Below are 18,683 nucleotides of genomic sequence, written 5' to 3'. Positions count from 1 at the left end.
GTAGCAGTGCCATTATTTGCAATTTTCTAAGTGTGCTAGCAAAAACCAAGAAAAAAGTAAATATTCAACCACAGGGAGTCACAAACCATATTCTAAAACACTCTGCAGCCTTCCCAAATGATGTTTTGGAAGAATATTTAATGACTTTGGAAAAATGCTTTGGTATATTACGTTTAAAAATCAGATTACAAAACAATATTTATAATATGAGTCCACACATGCCTGTACATAGAAAAAATAAAGGAGGTTAGTATTAATACTGAATTGGGAGATTACAGATAATTTTTACTTTTTAATTTAGACTTGAGTTTTCCATATTTTCTAAATTAACATGTATTAGTTTTTCAATCAGAAAGAGAACAATACATGTCATTCCTCAAATAAAAACACCAGCCGAGGTGATTGATTTTTTGGAAGCTAGGCCATTAAGTAATGCTATCCATTTTGTGGAGGCATTTTAAGTTCCGGTCATTGACTCATGGAGTAAACAATTATTGAACTATTGTCAAATATCAGTACCTACTCTATGCCAGATATAATGCTTTGTTCTGGGGACACTTGAAGAGGGTTATGCAGAGATAATTACAAAATGGTTCTACCAGGTATAGGATACAAGTAAAATCAATATTATAGGATAGGTGCTAGAGTAATAGCCCTAAGAAAGTCCTATACCCAGATTACGACAGGGGAGCTATTTCAAGCAAGTCATCCTGAGTCACACTAATCACAAGAATGCAACCTATCTGAACTTCATTAACTTAGTCTCACAAGGATATGTCTGTCTGATTTACAGTTGATTTGTGTGACCTGAGCTTTTGTATAGGGTGGATATAAAATAAACCTGCCATCTTAAAAAAAAGTTTGCAAGTTTTGAATCTTTAAACTGTAGTTGAACGGTTTTATTTAAAAAGTACATTAATGAACATTAGCTATATTCTGGTGCTAAGGGATATAAAGGTAAGAGAAACAAGAATCTTGTCCTCAGGAAGCCCAGAATCTAAATCAAATGTTTGTCTATATCTTATACAGTATGAATATCTGTGGTAATTTCATCTAACATTTTTGCTAAAAATCAAATATTGAGAATTAAAAGCCACATTGTTTCCCTCTCTTGCTTTGGCTGTGAGGAAGCATAGAACGAAATGTTATATCAGTAATCATGCTCATTACAGATATTTGTGGTAGTTGTTTTGATAAAAATTTTCTATGCATAAAAATGGCTTTCTTGTTTTTGAGAAGAACACAGACGATAAATCATAAATGAAAACCACATAAAATCTTTTGTTATTTAATTATATAGTAATTAGAATTATATTTTAAAGCAAAGAAAACATGTTTGGTAAAAGAAAAAAAGTTAAATGCATCTTCCTCACTGACAATTTAAATTGTTTTGTTTCTTGAGGGCAGGCAGAATTTACTCAAATAAGTGGTTTTATTTTTTATTTTTTTAGACAGAGTTTCGCTTTTGTCGCCCAGGCTGGAGTACAGTGGCAGGATCTCGGCCCACTGCAACTTCCGCTTCCCTGGTTCAAGAGATTCTTCTGCCTCAGTCTCCCAAGTAGCTGGGATTACAGGCGCTCACCACCATGCTCGGCTAAATTTTGCATTTTATTTATTTATTTATTTATTTATTTATTTATTTATTTATTTATTTATTTTGAGACGGAGTCTTGCTCTGTCACCCAGGCTGGAGTGCAGTGGCGCAATCTCGGCTCACTGCAAGCTCCGCCTCCTGGGTTTATGCCATTCTCCTCCCTCAGCCTCCTGAGTAGCTGGGACTACAGGCGCCTGCCACCACGCCCGGCTAATTTTTTTGTATTTTTAGTAGAGACGGGGTTTCACCGTGTTAGCCAGGATGGTCTCGATCTCCTGACCTCGTGATCCACCCACCTCAGCCTCCCAAAGTGCTGGGAAATTTGGCATTTTTAGTAGAGACAGGTTTTCACCATGTTGTCCAGGCTGGTCTCGAACTGGCCTCCCAAAGTGCTTGGATTACAGGTGTGAGCCATTGCGCCTGGCCAAATAAGTGATTTTTTAAAAGTCCAATTTGGAAGGTCAAATCTAGATGAACATGTATTGAAAGAAAAAATAAAGGAAGACCAAGACGTTCTGAGCATTGATAGAACTGCTGTTGCACAGACAAACCAACAAGCATTCAAATTCCATTATTGACACTTGTCGACTTTGACATTCAATCGGAGCAGCAAAGTGCAAAGGTTAGGGACCTTAGAATGTTCTTCTTCATCTAAAAGAGTAAGAAAAGTACATAGTCCTTTTCTTGAATACACTGTGAAACAAATCTAAAATGTTATGCTTTTTTCAGTTTTTGAGGACTTCAGTTTTCCTGGATACTCTAGATAACTGACTGATTAAACAAAACAAAATGTATTTATAAAAATACATATTATTATATTAATATGGAAAGACTTTATATAGTTAAAAAATATATATAAAATATTTAATTCATGAAGTAAATATTCTATTTATAGATATATGGAGCAGAGCTTTTTAGTTCAAATACATATGAGATCAAATAAGTAAATAATTAAATTTTTAAAAAGTAATGTAAGACAAAGAAGGTCAGTGTGCTTACAACATAAATAATTTTTAGGATTGTATGTTTGAGGATAAGAATTAGTAAAAAGAATGCAGATGATGATTAAATAAAATGTAATTTCAATTCCATGTAAATCATCTTATTTTAATTATGTAGACTTTTATCCTAGTGGAATATGTATATTATAGTAATAAGTGAATTTTAGAAATAATGCCATTTAAAATTTTTCTAAGCCAAGAAAAGCAAATTATTTTTTCTTAAGCTATTAAAAACTATTTTCCCCTGGTTATGTCACCAAGAAATAAATCTTCCAGATTCTTTCCCTTAAATATTTGTATTTTCCAAATCAAGCAACAGAAACCACACACAAGAAATTTCAGCTCAAAAATATTTTTTCCAGGAAGAAACCCAAAAAGTAACTTTGAATTAATTGTACCTCTATTCTGTTTTATTAACTTTTCAAAATTTAGTCATTGATTTTAGTAAAACATACTGAATGAAAAATGTAAAGTCTCATAAAATGACATGTATTAAAGAGAGTAAACTAGTTTATAGAATAATATCAACAAATGGGATATATTGATATTCATACTAGAAGATGTTTAGCTATGACACTCATCCAGTGAGAATGGAGGAAAGTTTGTATTTCTGGAACCAATGGGCCTTGAAAATAGGATTAGAAAAATTGCATCTTTATGAAAAACAAATGTGCTGCTGTTAATGGTTTCTGAATTTGAATGTTGGATTGACTTAGTAAAAGCCAATGTGCACAATTAGAGTTGGCAACTCTAAGCAATATAGCCTTCTGAGTATATTGAAGTTGAAGGAAAAAGTGTTAGACTGGTGATTTCATTCTGTTTTCTACAGGGAACCTGAGCAAATTTTATGATACCTTGGAGCCAGCAGATGTTAGTTCTTATGAGAATAGCAGAGTTTTTACTGTCTAGGATGGAATGATATTTAGGAAATCAAGTCTTACCAAAAAACATAACATAAAAATGTAAATGCAGGTAGGTATTTTGGATGTACATAAAAAGCATATGGTTAAAATCATCAACGTTTTGGACAAAAAATTTTGAAGTTTACTCATGCCTTTAAAAGTTAGAGAAATATAGCTTGAAGAAACCATTAGCAGCACTACTTTTTAAAACTTCTTTTAATAAAGATGTAATTCTTTTAATCCTATTTTCAAGGCCCATTGGTTCCACGGATACGAACTTTTCCTTCATTCTCCCTTCTTGTAACAACTTAAACACTGGTAGCTGGATTTATTCTTTCAGTCTGTTGATGAACATAAGCAGATAAAAATGTCCTCCAATAGTGAAGACAACCAAAATAGTTCAATTTTGGTTGAAATTCAGAAAAAACAAATATCTGTAATGTCCTCCTCCAATTTGAAGTTAGAAGAGCAAGTAATATAACAACATTTATTTTAGTTAACTCATGCCTGCTTTTAGGAACTACTTTTAATTCATAATTTTTCACGAACCATTTGTTTAAATAATCTGATTTAGAATGTTGCTGATTATTGATGCTAAACTCACTGGTCTACATTTTGAAATCTTTTTGAAAATCAAGACATTTGTTTCTCTCCAAGAATACTTTAAGATATTTGCAATACATCCATCAGTACAGTCTTGTGATTATTTGAATGCTCATCCCCTATTTAGATAATGTGTGACCATCTTTTCATTTATTTTGAGCTTCAGTTTTCTTTTAACCATTTTTTTACATCCTTTTATCTTGCTAGAGAAACCAAGCAAAATGGAGTTAGGCTTGTTTTCTCTGTTGTTTTAACATTATAGTAAGTAATGTGGCTGGCAGGAATGATGTTTGGACTAATATAGTTGATAATAGCTAGTATTTTGGGGTGATTAATAGCTAGTATTTGTGGCAGGCACTGTGTTATGTGCTTTTATATAAACTAAATCATTTAATGTTCACAACTCTTGAGTAGTGTAATTTTTTACTTTACCAATGAGGTGACTGTGGCTCCAGCCACAGTTAGTGGAGATGGTCAGGTAAGAAACCAGCCATCTCTCCTCTGAGCCACAACATTAATAAGTGGCAGATTTAGCATCAAAATTAGATCAGCCTTTTCCCCAGAGCTCATTCACATCCTACCACACTAAAGAATTTCAGATTTGTTAGCAATAGGAACTTTTATTTTCAAACAAATTTGTGGGACCCTGGTATATTAACAAATGAAAGGAGAGCTGCTTGGTTGAAAGTGAGGCAGGATGTCTAACTGTACCCATTAGGGCCTAGAGAGAACCCTAAGTCTTTCATAAGAAGTAGTTCATAAGCCCTTGTTCTATAACATAACATAAAATTCCCCAAGAGCATCGTTCATATATAACATGGAACTATTAAAGCTAATTGATTGTTTTTAGCTTATAATAATTTCTATTTACTCTTGTTCATATACCTATCTCTATTTTTGTTCATTTTCTTGGCCTGTTTGTACTTATCCAAAACTTGAGGTGTAGTCACACTGGTTTCTGCATTTATTCCTCACCTGGATCATTTATGATTTTATAGTTGAAAGCTTTTCTTCAAGGGCCTCCTGTCCTTTCAGGGTCTCTGACTCTAGGATCATACCTAGAAATTTGGTTTCTTTCTTTCTTTCTTTTTTTGTTTTTTTTGAGATGGAGTCTTGCTCTGTTGCCCAGGCTAGGGCATTGTCTTGGCTCACTGCAAACTCCGCCTCCTGGGTTCAAGTGATTCTCCTGCCTCAGCCTCCCAAGTAGCTGGGATTACTGGTGCCTGACACCACGCCCGGCTAATTTTTTGTATTTTTATTAGAGTCAGGGTTTCACCACGTTGGCCAGGTTGGTCTCAAACTCCTGACTTTGTGATCCACCTGCCTCCGCCTCCCAAAGTGCTAGGATTATAGGCATGAGCCACTGCGCCCGGCCGAAATTTGGTTTCTTAAAGAACAAATTAGTTTTTCTTCTTGGTGAAAAATTAGGTTAACAAGTTTACCTTCTTTCCTTTTATTGTCCATGAAATCATCAGCAAGATAAGGCAGCATTTTGTCACAAAATCAGGTTTTAGCAGAAGATTTTTTGCCAGGTGTCTGTGGTTGATGTCTCCATTTGGGTCTTATTTTTCTTTTGTGCCATTATCCTTATTTAGCCTGGTCTGATGAACAATTATAGATGAACATTCTAAAGCAAGTAAACAACAATAAATTTTTAAATCATATAGTCATCCATCTATCCATCTTTATCTTCATGCACATAACATCCAGTGCTCAATAATATATAAAGGAAGGATATACTGGAACCATACTTTCTCCCTCAAATCTCTGATTTCCACATTGGTATATAATTTCTGTAATCCTCAATTTCTTAAGCTGGCAAATGTTTGGACGAGGGGATATGATCCTTTCAGCCACAGATTTGCACTTTTTTTTTTTCTCACTTTCCTTTCTCTGCTGTCCATTTAATTTGGACAAAGCATACAGTGAGTGAGGCTGAGTGCCACTCAAATCAGGTTATTCTCAGCCCTTTTTCTGATTTTTGTGAATTATTGTATATTTCCAAAATGACTTGAACATACAACTATCTTTTGAAGACAACCTGACAAGATTAACATTCATCGTTGGAAATTGTTGGAAGTACCTCCACGTAACTCTGCATACCCTTGCAGGTCCACATCACTTTTATGTGGGCATGAAACTTTTTTTTTCTTTCTTTCTTTTTTTTTTTTTTTAATTTGAGATGGAGTCTTAACACTGTTGCCCGGGCTGGAGTGCAATGGCGTGATCTCAGCTCACTGCAACCTCCGCCTCCTGGGTTCAAGCAATTATCCTGCCTCAGCCTGCCAAGTAGCTGGGATTACAGGTGCCCGCCACCATGCCCGGCTAATTTTTTGTATTTTTAGTAGAGACAGGGTTTCACTATGTTGGCCAGGCTGGTCTTGAACTCCTGACCTCGTGATCCGCCCACCTCAGCCTCCCAAAGTGCTGGGATTACAGGCGTGAGCCTAGGCCTAGGGCATGAAACTTTCTTACCCTTGCAGGTCCACATCACTTTTATGTGGAGTCTTCATTAGGGCATGAAACTTTCTTTACAAAGTGGTGCTCCCAGTCACTGCTAGAAGTCCCTTATTCTTGTCTTGTTAGCCAGGATTAAAATAATGAAAGCCCATTTCATGAATATAATTAATATAAGCTACTATTCACTTTCTATATCCTCTTTTCTTTTCCAAGATTAAAACATCCAGAAGAGATTAAAACCAGATTTTCCCAAATCCTTCAAGTTTTCTATGTTCAATTTCAAAGTTGCCAGAGATATACACCAGGTTTATTATAGATATTCTCTGTTTATTCATTCCCTTGTCATTCAGCAAAAGTGAGCAGCAGTTGGAAAACTGTTAGATTTCAGGTGCCTACAATAGAAATTGCAATAACCAACTCCATGGGAATTTTCTGTTTGCGATGGGGAGGTCCAGTAGATACACGATTTTTTTCTTCTTGTTTTTCTTTATTCACTCTTTTGCATTCAGTAATATTTCACCGTCTTAAAAGTAATGTTAATTCTCTAGGGCATCTTTAGAATTCCTTCTCCTGTTTCCTTATCAATTATTTCCAACACCCTACATAAATCTTTCATACTATTGATAAATCATAGTCTAACAAGAAGTTATTCATACTTTTTTTAAAATTCCTGTAAGTCTCATAACTGATAAGTACTTTAAGCTCTTTCTCTCTAGAGCTCTCATCTAATCTCACATTGAAATGCCTTCTGCACACTGAGAAGATTTCTAAATGTATTTCTGACCCTCTTCTCTTTTCTGGATGCTGGACCCATATATCCAGCTCTAGATGCTATTTCTAAGTTGAATATCTAGCAGCATATCAAACTCAACATGGTCAAAGTAGAAATCTTATTTCTCCCTGAACTTGCTCACTCTCTATCTTCTGTGTCAATTATTGGCACCACCATCAGTCCAATTGCTCAGAAACTTGGGAGTCTTTTGTGACACCCTTGTTCTCTCACTCCTTGTAAATCTCTGACTCATTCAGCAAGAACTTCCGCCAACATAGAGCCTGCAGTTTCCCATTTCTTAGCATCTCTTCTACAACCATAGGAGTCTAACCCGTGTTTCTAGACTCAAAAACAGCAATAGTCTCCTACCCAGTGTCTCCACTTTTACTCTTTTCTCTTATATTCCACACAAAATCCAGAGTAATCTTTTAAAACATGCTAATTAATCTTATTATTCCCTGCTTTAAAACCTTCCAATGGGTTGGTAGTGCACTGAGAATTGAAATAAAAACACTTTACCATGGCTTTCAAGACTCCTGGTAACCTGGTTTCTATTAGCTCTCTGACCTCATCTCACGCACTTGCCCCTCTTTTCCTATGCCTTGAAAATGTTAAATATATTTCTGTGTTAGAGTCTTTGCACTCTCTGTTACCTATGCCTACAATGTTATTCCCCTAGTTCTTCTGAAGTCTACCCTTTCTATCATCCAGATTTTGGCTCAAATGTAAACTTCTCAGTGAAGTCTTCTCTCATTCCCAGTCCAGAGCAGTGCCCATTTCTTCATCCCTCCTCCCACAAGTCACTGTCTTCGCCATTGGGTTTAAAAAATTCATTGCAATTATGAATATTAGAAATAATATCATTTGTGGTTTTACTCCATCCCCCCTCCCCTTTTCACTGTGATCTTTTTAGGGCAAGGACCACCTGTCTTCACAGCTGTGCAACTGGTGCCAGTACAGTGCCTGGAACAGAGAAGTCCTCAACATGCAGTTGTGATATCTATAAAACATGAATGTCTTCAGCGCTCTTGAATCTCAAGTGAAACTAGCTTTTTGTAAGTCTCTTGTAAACTGACCAGCAAGCTTTTTTTTGATAATAGAAAACTGTGGAATATTAACTTTATTCTGATTTCAAAGAAAATGAAGTATAGTTTCGGACATTTAAAAGAAAAAAACCTCCTTCAGAATTCAGAAAGGCATTTCATCAAGAAAAATTCCACCATTTTCCTAGATTAGCTGAGTCTAGAACATTAGGAAAATTACCTACCTGTATCAGGGATGAAGAGGACCACCTCATAAGTAACTATGCAGGGAAAATGTAAACACAGGTAGACCTTATCAAACCATCACATTCAGAGAATAAATTCAAGTCTCTTCAATGCAGTTGTGCAGCCTTGCAGTGTTTGGGGCTCCATTACTGACCCTGGGAACACGGTTCTAAAGGAAGCTACCTTGCAATATCTTGGGCCACAACCAGAAGTTAAGACAATAAATAAATAAATAAATAAATAAATAAATAAATAAATAAAACAGAACAAAATAAGCTATACAAAATACAAAATGTTTGTTTAGGTATGTTTGTGTGTACTTACGCAGAGGAAGGGGAAAGTCTAGGGAAGTGGCGAAGAGAGAGGCAAAGCTGACTACATTATCTGCGTGGCCCATTGCAAAATACAAATGTGAGACTCCTTGATTAAAAATTATGAAGAAGAACAAAACAGCGACAGTAGACTATTGTCCCAGAATATTAAACCAAACACGGGTCTTATGAGCTGTGGCCTATACAACTGCATAGTCGCACACCCATGAAGCCCACCCTGGTTGGAGGGGAGAATTATAATTCATCTCCAGCGAATGTAAAGCAATCCCCACCCTGCCAAAACAACAGTAAAAATAAACGGCGATCCAAATTAGGGCAGGTTGTGCCCAATCCTGATGGCTGTGCTTGTGATGACGGTGGCGGTGCTGAGGTGGACTTGGGGGCACTGCTCCTATATAACAGACTTTAGATTGATAGAGGAGAAGGAAAATAGTTTCTGAAGCTCCAAAGTAGAAACTTCAGGCGCAAAGAATAAGGTAAAGGAAAGGAGACCGCATCAGACCTCCCTCCTGCCCTTGGGCAGTCAATGCCTTTTCTTTCCAAAGCGACCCTCTCCTTAGATCACTGTGTATATCCGGTGCCTTAGGAGCTGGGGTGGAGTACGTAGGTTTGGCTGTAAGGGCGCGTCAGAGCGACAAAAAGGGTAGAGACAAGTTTAAACCCCTTTCTGTGGAGTGGCTTCCTACCCTCTTTGGCCACAAACCCCAGGGCTCCCAGAGGGGCCTGGATGTAAGTGGGTTCCAGATGACCCATCCTCCCTTGACCCTCCGAAGGTAAGACCCAAGGGGAACCGCTGTGATCAGCATTCTTGAATTCCTCAAAAGTCACCTCACTTGTAGAAGTGCGTAGTCCTCCAGCATTTGGAAGAGGTGGCAGGGACCTTGGGGCCCGGGAAGTTCGCGACCCCAGGAAGCGGGTCTGAGGCGGTGCACCCCATCCACTCCGTCCGCAGTCGGGGCGGGGCAGCGGGACCCGAGAGGACGGGAATCCCTGCAGGGAGGGAAGGGCCGCGCCTGCCGAGGCGGCTCCGAGCCCCGCCACTCGGTCCTATCCCGGCTCGCGGAGGCTCAGGCCCCGGGAACTGCGGGCGGAGGGGGCGGCGACCGGGCACCCTGCGGCCACTGCGGCCGCTGCTCCTGCGACTCCCGCGCCCGCCGGGTGGTGGCTCCCCAGTGCCCGCCCCCAGCTCCCCTTCCCCGCCCCTCACGCCCCCTTCCCGCCCCGGCCCCCGCCCGGCGCTCGGGCCGCGCCGACCCGTCGCCCCGTCCTTCCGAGCGCGCCAGGCGGCAGATTCTTGGCGGCGGCGGCGCCTCCCCAGTGCCGGCGGCCCCGAGCCGGCTGCCGCGTTCCGGGCCTCAGAGTCCTCCCGCCTCGGCCATTTTCCCTCCTCCCCATCTCCTCCCCTTAGTCCCCTCCCCTCCCGATCCTCATCCCCTTGCCCTCCCCCAGCCCAGGGACTTTTCCGGAAAGTTTTTATTTTCCGTCTGGGCTCTCGGAGAAAGAAGCTCCTGGCTCAGCGGCTGCAAAACTTTCCTGCTGCCGCGCCGCCAGCCCCCGCCCTCCGCTGCCCGGCCCTGCGCCCCGCCGAGCGATGAGCGCCCCTCCGGTCCTGCGGCCGCCCAGTCCGCTGCTGCCCGTGGCGGCGGCAGCTGCCGCAGCGGCCGCCGCACTGGTCCCAGGGTCCGGGCCCGGGCCCGCGCCGTTCTTGGCTCCTGTCGCGGCCCCGGTCGGGGGCATCTCGTTCCATCTGCAGATCGGCCTGAGCCGTGAGCCGGTGCTGCTGCTGCAGGACTCGTCCGGGGACTACAGCCTGGCGCACGTCCGCGAGATGGCTTGCTCCATTGTCGACCAGAAGGTAAGTCGCCGCACCGCTGCCAGCCCGGCGCCTCCCCGCGGCGCAGGGGGCGCTGCCCGGCTGGCCCTCTCCGCGCCAACTTTCCGGCTCCCGGGGCTCGGCTGGCCGCCAGCCTCGCCGGCGCTCTGGAAGCGGCTGGCCCCGCCGCGGCTGGACGCCTGCAACCCGAGGCGCTGCGCTCGCTGTTGCTCATCCTCCTCTCGCCCCATCTTCCTCTATTCACCGATTTCTCTCCAGTCCGCCGCCTCCTCACCCATTTCCATCCTTCTCATGACATTTCCAGGTATCTTGCCCTTTCCTCGCCGCGCCCCTCCTTGTCCTTGAGACTTCCCAGTTTTCTTCCCCTCTCTCCCCTACGGACCCTGGACCAGCGCATTCCTGGTGCAGGAATCCTCCTTCCTGCACCAGAGTGCCCCCGGAATGACCTGGAGACAAGGAATTTCTCACCTGTCAGATAAGCTTTTAAGAGAGTGTGATTGACTCGGCCAGTTGTCAAAACAACTGACCAGGAGTGCAGGTACCCAAGGCCTTGTCATCTTTTAGTTCCACTTCTGTATGAGCATGGAAACACATTTTCCAACGACAAAACCTGAAAGTTGCGACCTTCCTATTTTTCATTCCCGGGATGCTGATAGTAGGACGTTGAAGTGGTGGGGGTGATGTCCAGGAACACCCCGAGGCTGGCTGTGTCCTTAAGTTTGAGGCTGTGGGGCTCTGGACAGCGGCCACTGAAGGCAGGTTAGAAGGGTCATTATCCGGGGCCAGGCCACCCCCAGAGGAGACTCAGCCCACCCACCACTGTTTACAGTAGCAATTTGGATTTTCAGGTTGCCTCTGGAGCCATCCAGATGGATGTTGCATGGAAGGGGGTGATACAGACGTGAGGCAGAGGGGGCCATGGCGCCAGTCTTCTTAGTGTAAACAGCCAGCGTTTCAGGAGTGGAGACAGAGGTCTCTAAAGGTGCTGAATTTTTCAGCCCTGGAGGACTGGCTAGCACTCCTTTTGCTTTCTAATTATCACTTGAATAATCATGAATTGCTTTCTTTAAATTATTTGTAACAGAGTTTGCTAAATCTTAAGGGTTGTGAATTGCAGCACTGAGCACAGGAATGTTAAAAGCTCCAGGTGGAAAAAAATCACTGATCTAGAAAGTTGTGAAAGTTCTAGACTAAGGTAACAATGAGTGCCAGGAATTTATTTATGGAAATTTACTTTTATATTACGGGTAATGTCAACTGTTTGCAACTTCCAAGAAAATGACACGTTTTGTCTAATGCTGATGTAAGTCATATCATGCTCCTTTTCCACATCAGTATTGTGGAATGTCTATTGTGGGTCAGCAGGAGCACTCCTAGGCACTGTGAAAGCCTTGTATACAATCCTCTCCATTTGGATGCAGACCAGTTAATGAAACAGCAATGCTTCATAAGCACGTATACAATGTAAAACAAAATTTCTCAAAAAGCAAAGGTAATTCTGTACAATTTTAACTTTTCTAAATTCTAAAGCAAGTGAAGTAGTGTCAGAGAATATTCAAATTGGGTCAAAGTAATATTGATAGACTTTGTTTTGACCAGCTTGAATTCTCCCTCCACCCCGCCCCCCACTTCCTCCTGGAGTTCAGAATGGGGAGACTGATGCCTAGTTCAAGAGGTTTGGTAGTGGGATTTTAAATGGAGGGTGAATTCCAGGTGTCTCAGAAGCTACCAAGGGGCGTGTTACATGGAGAGAGTGAGACGAGAGCAGAGGGAGAGGGACAGCAAGCACCTATGGAATGCAGCAGGCCTGCAGGTGGTGGCCTGGGTATTTAAGGGAAGTACAGTTATGAAAAGGCCTTGAATTAAACTCAAATTGCTAGAAGCCTCAGTAATCTTTTCATAGCGACATCATACCAAGGACATCTGAAAGATGGATTTGCTGTATGGAGGTTTTAGAATGCCAAAAATGTTATGGCAGAAAGAGCACCGAAGTTCAGTCATGAGCTAGTTGGAACATGAGTCAAGACTTGGGGGAGAGACTGGGAGAAATACTGGAAAGGGAAAATCATCAGCCCTGATTGGTGACTGATTTATAAGGGGAATCCTTTCCTTTTGTATTTATTCTAGTAGTTTCTTCTCTCTCTCAAAGAAGTTTGAAAAGTTTGACTGTTTGGAATAGTTAAGGTAAAGATCTCACTTTTTTTTTAGGTTATAAAAAAGTTGGGGTTAGATTTATAGATGTGAACTTGAGGGTTATTTATATACAGAATACTGTAAATAAATATATACTGGATAGTGTTTCTGGACAGAGGACTTTTTCAATTTCTCTGTCATTTGTCATCTCTTTCAGAATATATTATTATCCCAGCAGAAACAAAATTAAGAGAGCTGAAGGTCCATCACAGGATACAGGATCTCTGTGTGTTGTGACAGTAGGAATGGCAGAGTGTCAGTGTGGAGTTAAGGAAGTGGGAGGGAGTTCTTTTGTCTTTTATTTCAGTTTTTTTTTGGAAGTACCTTATGAGGACGTCAGCTATGAGGAAGGATGACAGGAGTTTGGGGATTGGATGTTTCAGGAGAGAGCAGAGGGTTTGAAATCATTTACAATTTACTATGTGGGCTGAAGTCGTGTGGAACTTACAGCAGAAGGTTCTCCTGATCTTTCTGAGTCTTCCACATCTGTTGTTTTAAATGTGTTAAGAAGTTTTTCATTCACTTTGTTCAGGAGCTCCCTAAGTACTAACATAGATCATACGAGCATTGGAAATATTAGCTGACAGTTTCAGTAACATCACAGGACATTTCCTTTGGGATGAGCAACTGAGGTGTACAAGGCTGCATAAGTTTCCCTGAGAAACTCACCTGTAAATTATTATTGTTATTATTTAGAATTTAGAGTATAGTTGTTCTCTAATTATGTAGCAGACACGATTGTACTTGAAACATTGTGATGGTAATTCAACAAAAAATACTTATTTTAAGATAACGTACCCTAAGTATATACTGACTTATATAAGTAAAGAATTATTTCTTTCATCTTCTAGTTTAGGTGAAAAATCTAGTCTTGCTTTTTTGTATGTAACAATGTATGGCTATATAATATGTTATTCTTTCTTTTTAGAAAGTATTGATCCAGGGTTTTATTTACATTATGTTTGTTTATTTAGTTTGCAAGTGTGTGACGTTGAAGCCTGGTTGTATATAAAGATATGTATTCTGTTAGTGTACATGGTTATTGTTTTCAGGAGGGTAAAAAATAATAACAATCATTGACTTCACTTTGAAACACTGTTACTTTCTACTGTCAAAGAAACCTTGAATATGTAGACTGAGGAGGAATTGTTTTAAAGCAAGGAAAAAAATTCCAGAGGAAGAGCTAGTTTGGTTTCATAGTACATCATCTACTTATCTACCACACACACAAACACACACACATACTTTTTTTTTTTTTTTTTTTTTCCTCAAATGAGCTGTGTTACTCTTTAGGGATGCTTGATGCCATTAATATGATTGTTCATTTTGGTTATTACCTTATTAGAAAGGCAACTGATATTTTACTCTTAAATGTACTTAAATGGAGTAATAGCATTTATAAGACTCCTGGCATATAGTTTCACTTTTCAGAATCATCTTTTGGCTAAAGAAATTTAACAGTGAGATTTTAAGTAGATAGCTCACTAAAGAAGTAAGGTTAGTGCCTTGGTTTGAAAGTAGCATTACTTTGCTTGTAATTGTTTCACTTTAATTGTATTATACATTGTTTTCTTAATAGTTGTGATGTCATTTTTCTCTTTATTACTAATTTTAGATACTCCACACATTCCACATAGATTGAGAAAGCCGAAAGTAATTAGGTGCTTGATCAATCCAACTCACCTGGACCAACAAACTCCTTTTAAACTAATGATGGTCTTTGGGGCTTAGGTGTATATATTTTTATTCCAATTTTATAATTGGCTATATTATATGTCTACTGATTTCTGATTTAATGATGAAGTATAGAATTTGTCATTTTACTGTGTGTTTTTTTTTTTTTTTTTTTGACAGAATCTCACTCTCTTGCCCAGGCTGGAGTGCAGTAGCACAATTACAGCTCACTGCAGTCTTGGCCTCCAGGCTTAAGTGATCCTCTCACCTCAGCCCCTTGAGTAGCTGGGTCTACAGGTATGGGTGACCATGCCTGGCTAATTTTTAAATTTTTTGTAGAGATGGTATTTTGCCATATTGCCCAGGCTGGTCTGGAACTCCTGGGATCAAGAGGTCCTCCTACCTCGGCCTCCCAAAGTGCTGGGATTTAAGGAATCCCACTGGGTGTGAGCCACTGGGCCTGGCCTATTAAGTGATTCTTAAGTAATATAATTTTAGTACTCTAATTTTATTTTTATTATTTTATTTTTTGAGATAAGGCCCAGACTACAAGTACAGTACATAATCATAGCTCACTGCAGCCTCAAAGTCTTGGCTAATGTGATCCTCCTGCCACAGCGTCCCAAGTGTTTGGGACTACAAGTGTGTGCCACCACATCTGACTAATTTTTATAATTTTTTTATACAGACAATGTCTCACTGTGTTGCCCAGGCTGTTATTGATTTCCTGGCCTCAAGCAATCCTCCCACCTCAGCCTTCCAAAGTGCTGGGATTGCAGGCATGAGCCACTGTGCCCTGCCTGTACTTTTAAAATTTAAATTTCTTTTCAAGTTTAATAATGTAACAGGATTATATTTTGGAACTGTATATTATGTATTACAGATGTGGAATTTATATGTAGTAGATTATGTTTAACTATTTTTTAAATATATTTTTAAGAGCTTCCTTATCCTTGTATAGCCTCCAGATGTGAAGTATTGTTTTATATTTTGTGTTATAGACTGCAAAAAATGAGGCCTCATCACATATCTCACAATCCCAAAGAGAAACTCTGCTTTACATTTTTCTTTTTTTCTTTACTTTTTCTTTTTTTTTTTTTTTGAGATGGAGTCTCGCTCTGTTGCCCAGGCTGGAGTGCAGTGGTGCAATCTCGGCTCACTGCAAACTCTGCCTCCTGGGTTCACAGCATTCTCCTGCCTCAGCCTTCCAAGTAGCTGGGACTACAGGCGCCTGCCACCATGCACTGCTATTTTTTTGTATTTTTAGTAGAGATGGGGTTTCACCGTGTTATCCAGGATGGTCTCGATCTCCTGACCTCGTAATCCGCCCGCCTTGGCCTCCCAAGAGAAACTCTGCTTTATATTTTTCTATCAATTCACAGACTTATAAACCTTTTTAAAACAGGTATGTACTATTTGACAGTTTTCACAAGAATATCCTGTGAGACTGTGAAGTTAAAACCATTAAGCCTTGTAGTCCATGGGCTGGGAAGAGTTGGATGATTGGCTCATTTGATAAATACATGAATTCATTTGGGCCTTTAGATTCAGAATTGAGATCAATCTGAAAGAGTAAAAGTACACTGTGTATGGTGGTGGTGGTGGTGGGGGTTACTGGAATAAGGTTTAAAAACTTGCCCCAGAAGACCATACTTCATGACTGTGCTGTTTATTTTCACCAGATTCCTATCATAGCTTTTATGGGAGATTTATAACTTTATTTTCTAATGATTATTACCTTTTTTTGTGAGATGATTGTATATAAGTCTTCACTAATTTATTCATGAATAACTGTTACTGACCTTACTAGAGAATGCAGAACATTTGTAAGTCAATGAATGTATATTTGTGACTTATCTAAGATTACTTTGAGATTTAAAGACAATATATGTAACATACATACTGCTTTGTAAATACGTGCATAATAAATGCTGTTGTTTACTAAAGCTTAAAGCTCTATAGACTAGCATACTGTCTTATTAACAAAAGAAATTTATATTTATTATCTTATTCTTATATCAATATATAATTAAAATTATAATATTAAAAAAAGCAATATGGCTGTAAGGCCCAGGTGACATCTTTTTCCTGCCCTCTGTATCAGGGCAAATCTTAGAAGTAGTTATGTTTTGAAACAGTTTCTCAAATCTCAAACTCTCAGCATTCTTTAAGGACTAATCTAATTATTACTAAATGAAAGACACATTTGCTGATAAAAGTAAAGCATATTTTCATTGCTTTTTATTATTTTTGACAGAAAGATGATTTAACTCCTTTTCAATTACAAGTGCAATGTCAATGGTATTTCACTTCATTTTTTAAAAAGGAAATAAAATAGATAAAGGTGCAACATTTGGGAACACAATGATTCAAAATTCTGGTTCTCAAGACCAAAATTTAAAGCTTATTTGCAGATCATCGCTTGATACATGAGAAGGAAGGTGCTTGGAAATGACGTAGGGAGATTGCAATTTGCTGTCATGCTAACATCTAGAGGTTGTTTGCTAAATTGTTCCATCTGATGATAGCTAATATAACATAATTGGTTGTGCATATGCAGAAATGTCATTTTGAGATGAGAAGGCAAATTTACTGGGAAACAATTGAGTTATCAGTTTGGCAAAACCAATCACAAGTCTTTTTTAGATATTCCCACTACCTACCACTTATCTGTCATGGAAGTCCATGCCCCATTATAAAACCTTTAGAAAACCACAATCTTTAATTATTTATAAATCTTTTAAAGAAGAGTGTAATGGATAATTATATGAAACTTTGTGTGTGTGTGTGTGTGTGTGTGTGTGTGTGTGTGTGTATTAGACTGGAATCATTGAATAAGCTCTCAAACTATACCAAATAACTAGTATAATGATCAATATTGCAGGGCTGGACTCAGACTGTTAGAACTTGGTAGAATGCAGTCTTATAGGTGTTGATGGTAACATGAAGTTTCCTTCCTTGCTTTGTTTTTATATTTGTTTGCTTTGATTTATGTATCAGGGTAATCTTTGACCTCTGACCTTGCGCCATCACCTTGTTTAAGGTGAAAAATCTAAACCCAAATGTGGCAATAGAGGTAAAAATATAGGGTGTTTTTTAATAATAAAAGATACTACTCATCTTTTAATTTCCCCAGCATTACTTTAGAGTGATTTTGAAAATGAGACTTCAATTTCTTAAATCTTTCCTTATTGTTGGAATATGTTGGAACAAAACAAGACAAGTGCTTCCTTCCTTCCTTGTTTCCTTCCTTCCTTTTCTTTTCTTCTCTCTTTTCTTTTCTTTCTCCCCTTTCTTCCTTTTCTCTTTTCTTTTCTCCTTCCTTCCTTCCTTCTTTCCTTCCTTCCTTCCTTCCTTCCTTCCTTCCTTCCTTCCTTCCTTCCTTCCCTCCTTCCTTCCTACCTTCCTTCCTCTCTTTCTCTCTCTCTCTCTCTCTTTCTCAGGGTCTCACTTTAGTCACTCAGGCTGGAGTGCAGTGGCACCGTCTGAGCTCACTGCAGCCTCAACTTCCCAAGCTCAGGTGATTCTCCCACCTCAGCCTCCCGAGTAGCTGAGACTACAGATATGTGCCACCACGCCTGGATGATTTTCTGTATTTTTAGTAGAGACAGAGTTTTGCCATGTTGCCAGGATGGTCTTGAACTCCTGTGCTCAAGTGATGACCCACCTGCTTCGGCCTTCCAAAGTGCTAGGATTATAGGTATGAGCCACTGCGCTCAGCCTCATTTCCCTCTTTCTATTGATAGAATTTAGATACAAAGAAAATGGTGATTTTCCTTACAACTATTCAAAACATTTTTTAATCTATAAGAATATGAGATATTTCCCACAGGAATTCTTTTAATACTGTCAACCAAATATTTTTGTGCCATTAAAAACCAGTTGTGATAGCACCACTTGAAGTTATTTGGCAGCAGAGAAATTCACGTTGTTCTGTTTCTTACTTTTTCTGGTCTCATCTAGAAAAACAGATCATTAAATATACAGAGTGTTCAATTATATGGCCACTATGGCTGTTATGGAATATCATATAATTTAAATAGTTAAGAA

General features: G+C 39.6%; 1 protein-coding gene and 1 long non-coding RNA gene across 5 annotated transcripts in view; one reads left to right on the top strand and one right to left on the bottom strand.

Moving 5' to 3' along the window:
* Window positions 1–1,985: 1,985 nt before the first annotated feature.
* Window positions 1,986–9,909, bottom strand: LOC105370429 (uncharacterized). Its single transcript, XR_943703.2, has 3 exons — window positions 8,925–9,909; window positions 5,543–5,727; window positions 1,986–2,245 (listed from the first exon to the last, which is right to left on the bottom strand). It is a non-coding gene; the product is annotated as an uncharacterized LOC105370429 (long non-coding RNA).
* PRKD1 (protein kinase D1) overlaps window positions 10,189–18,683 on the top strand; it is a 351,369-nt gene continuing 342,874 nt past the window's right edge. For 3 of the 4 annotated variants that reach the window (XR_943493.3, NM_002742.3, NM_001330069.2), the window contains exon 1: window positions 10,189–10,787. Coding sequence is in view for 2 of the 4 variants with exons in the window: in NM_002742.3 (NP_002733.2) it covers window positions 10,524–10,787 (264 nt within the window). In the remaining 2 variants the exon portion in view is untranslated. Of the gene's footprint in view, window positions 10,788–10,939; window positions 11,071–18,683 lie in introns of those variants that run through there. The other variant, NM_001348390.1, reaches the window with a different exon arrangement.

The sequence above is a fragment of the Homo sapiens genome, chromosome 14, assembly GCF_000001405.40.
Source record: "Homo sapiens chromosome 14, GRCh38.p14 Primary Assembly".
Lineage (NCBI taxonomy): Eukaryota > Metazoa > Chordata > Mammalia > Primates > Hominidae > Homo > Homo sapiens.
Note: the sequence above shows the minus strand (reverse complement) of the source record. Positions and strands in the feature narration are given on the sequence as shown.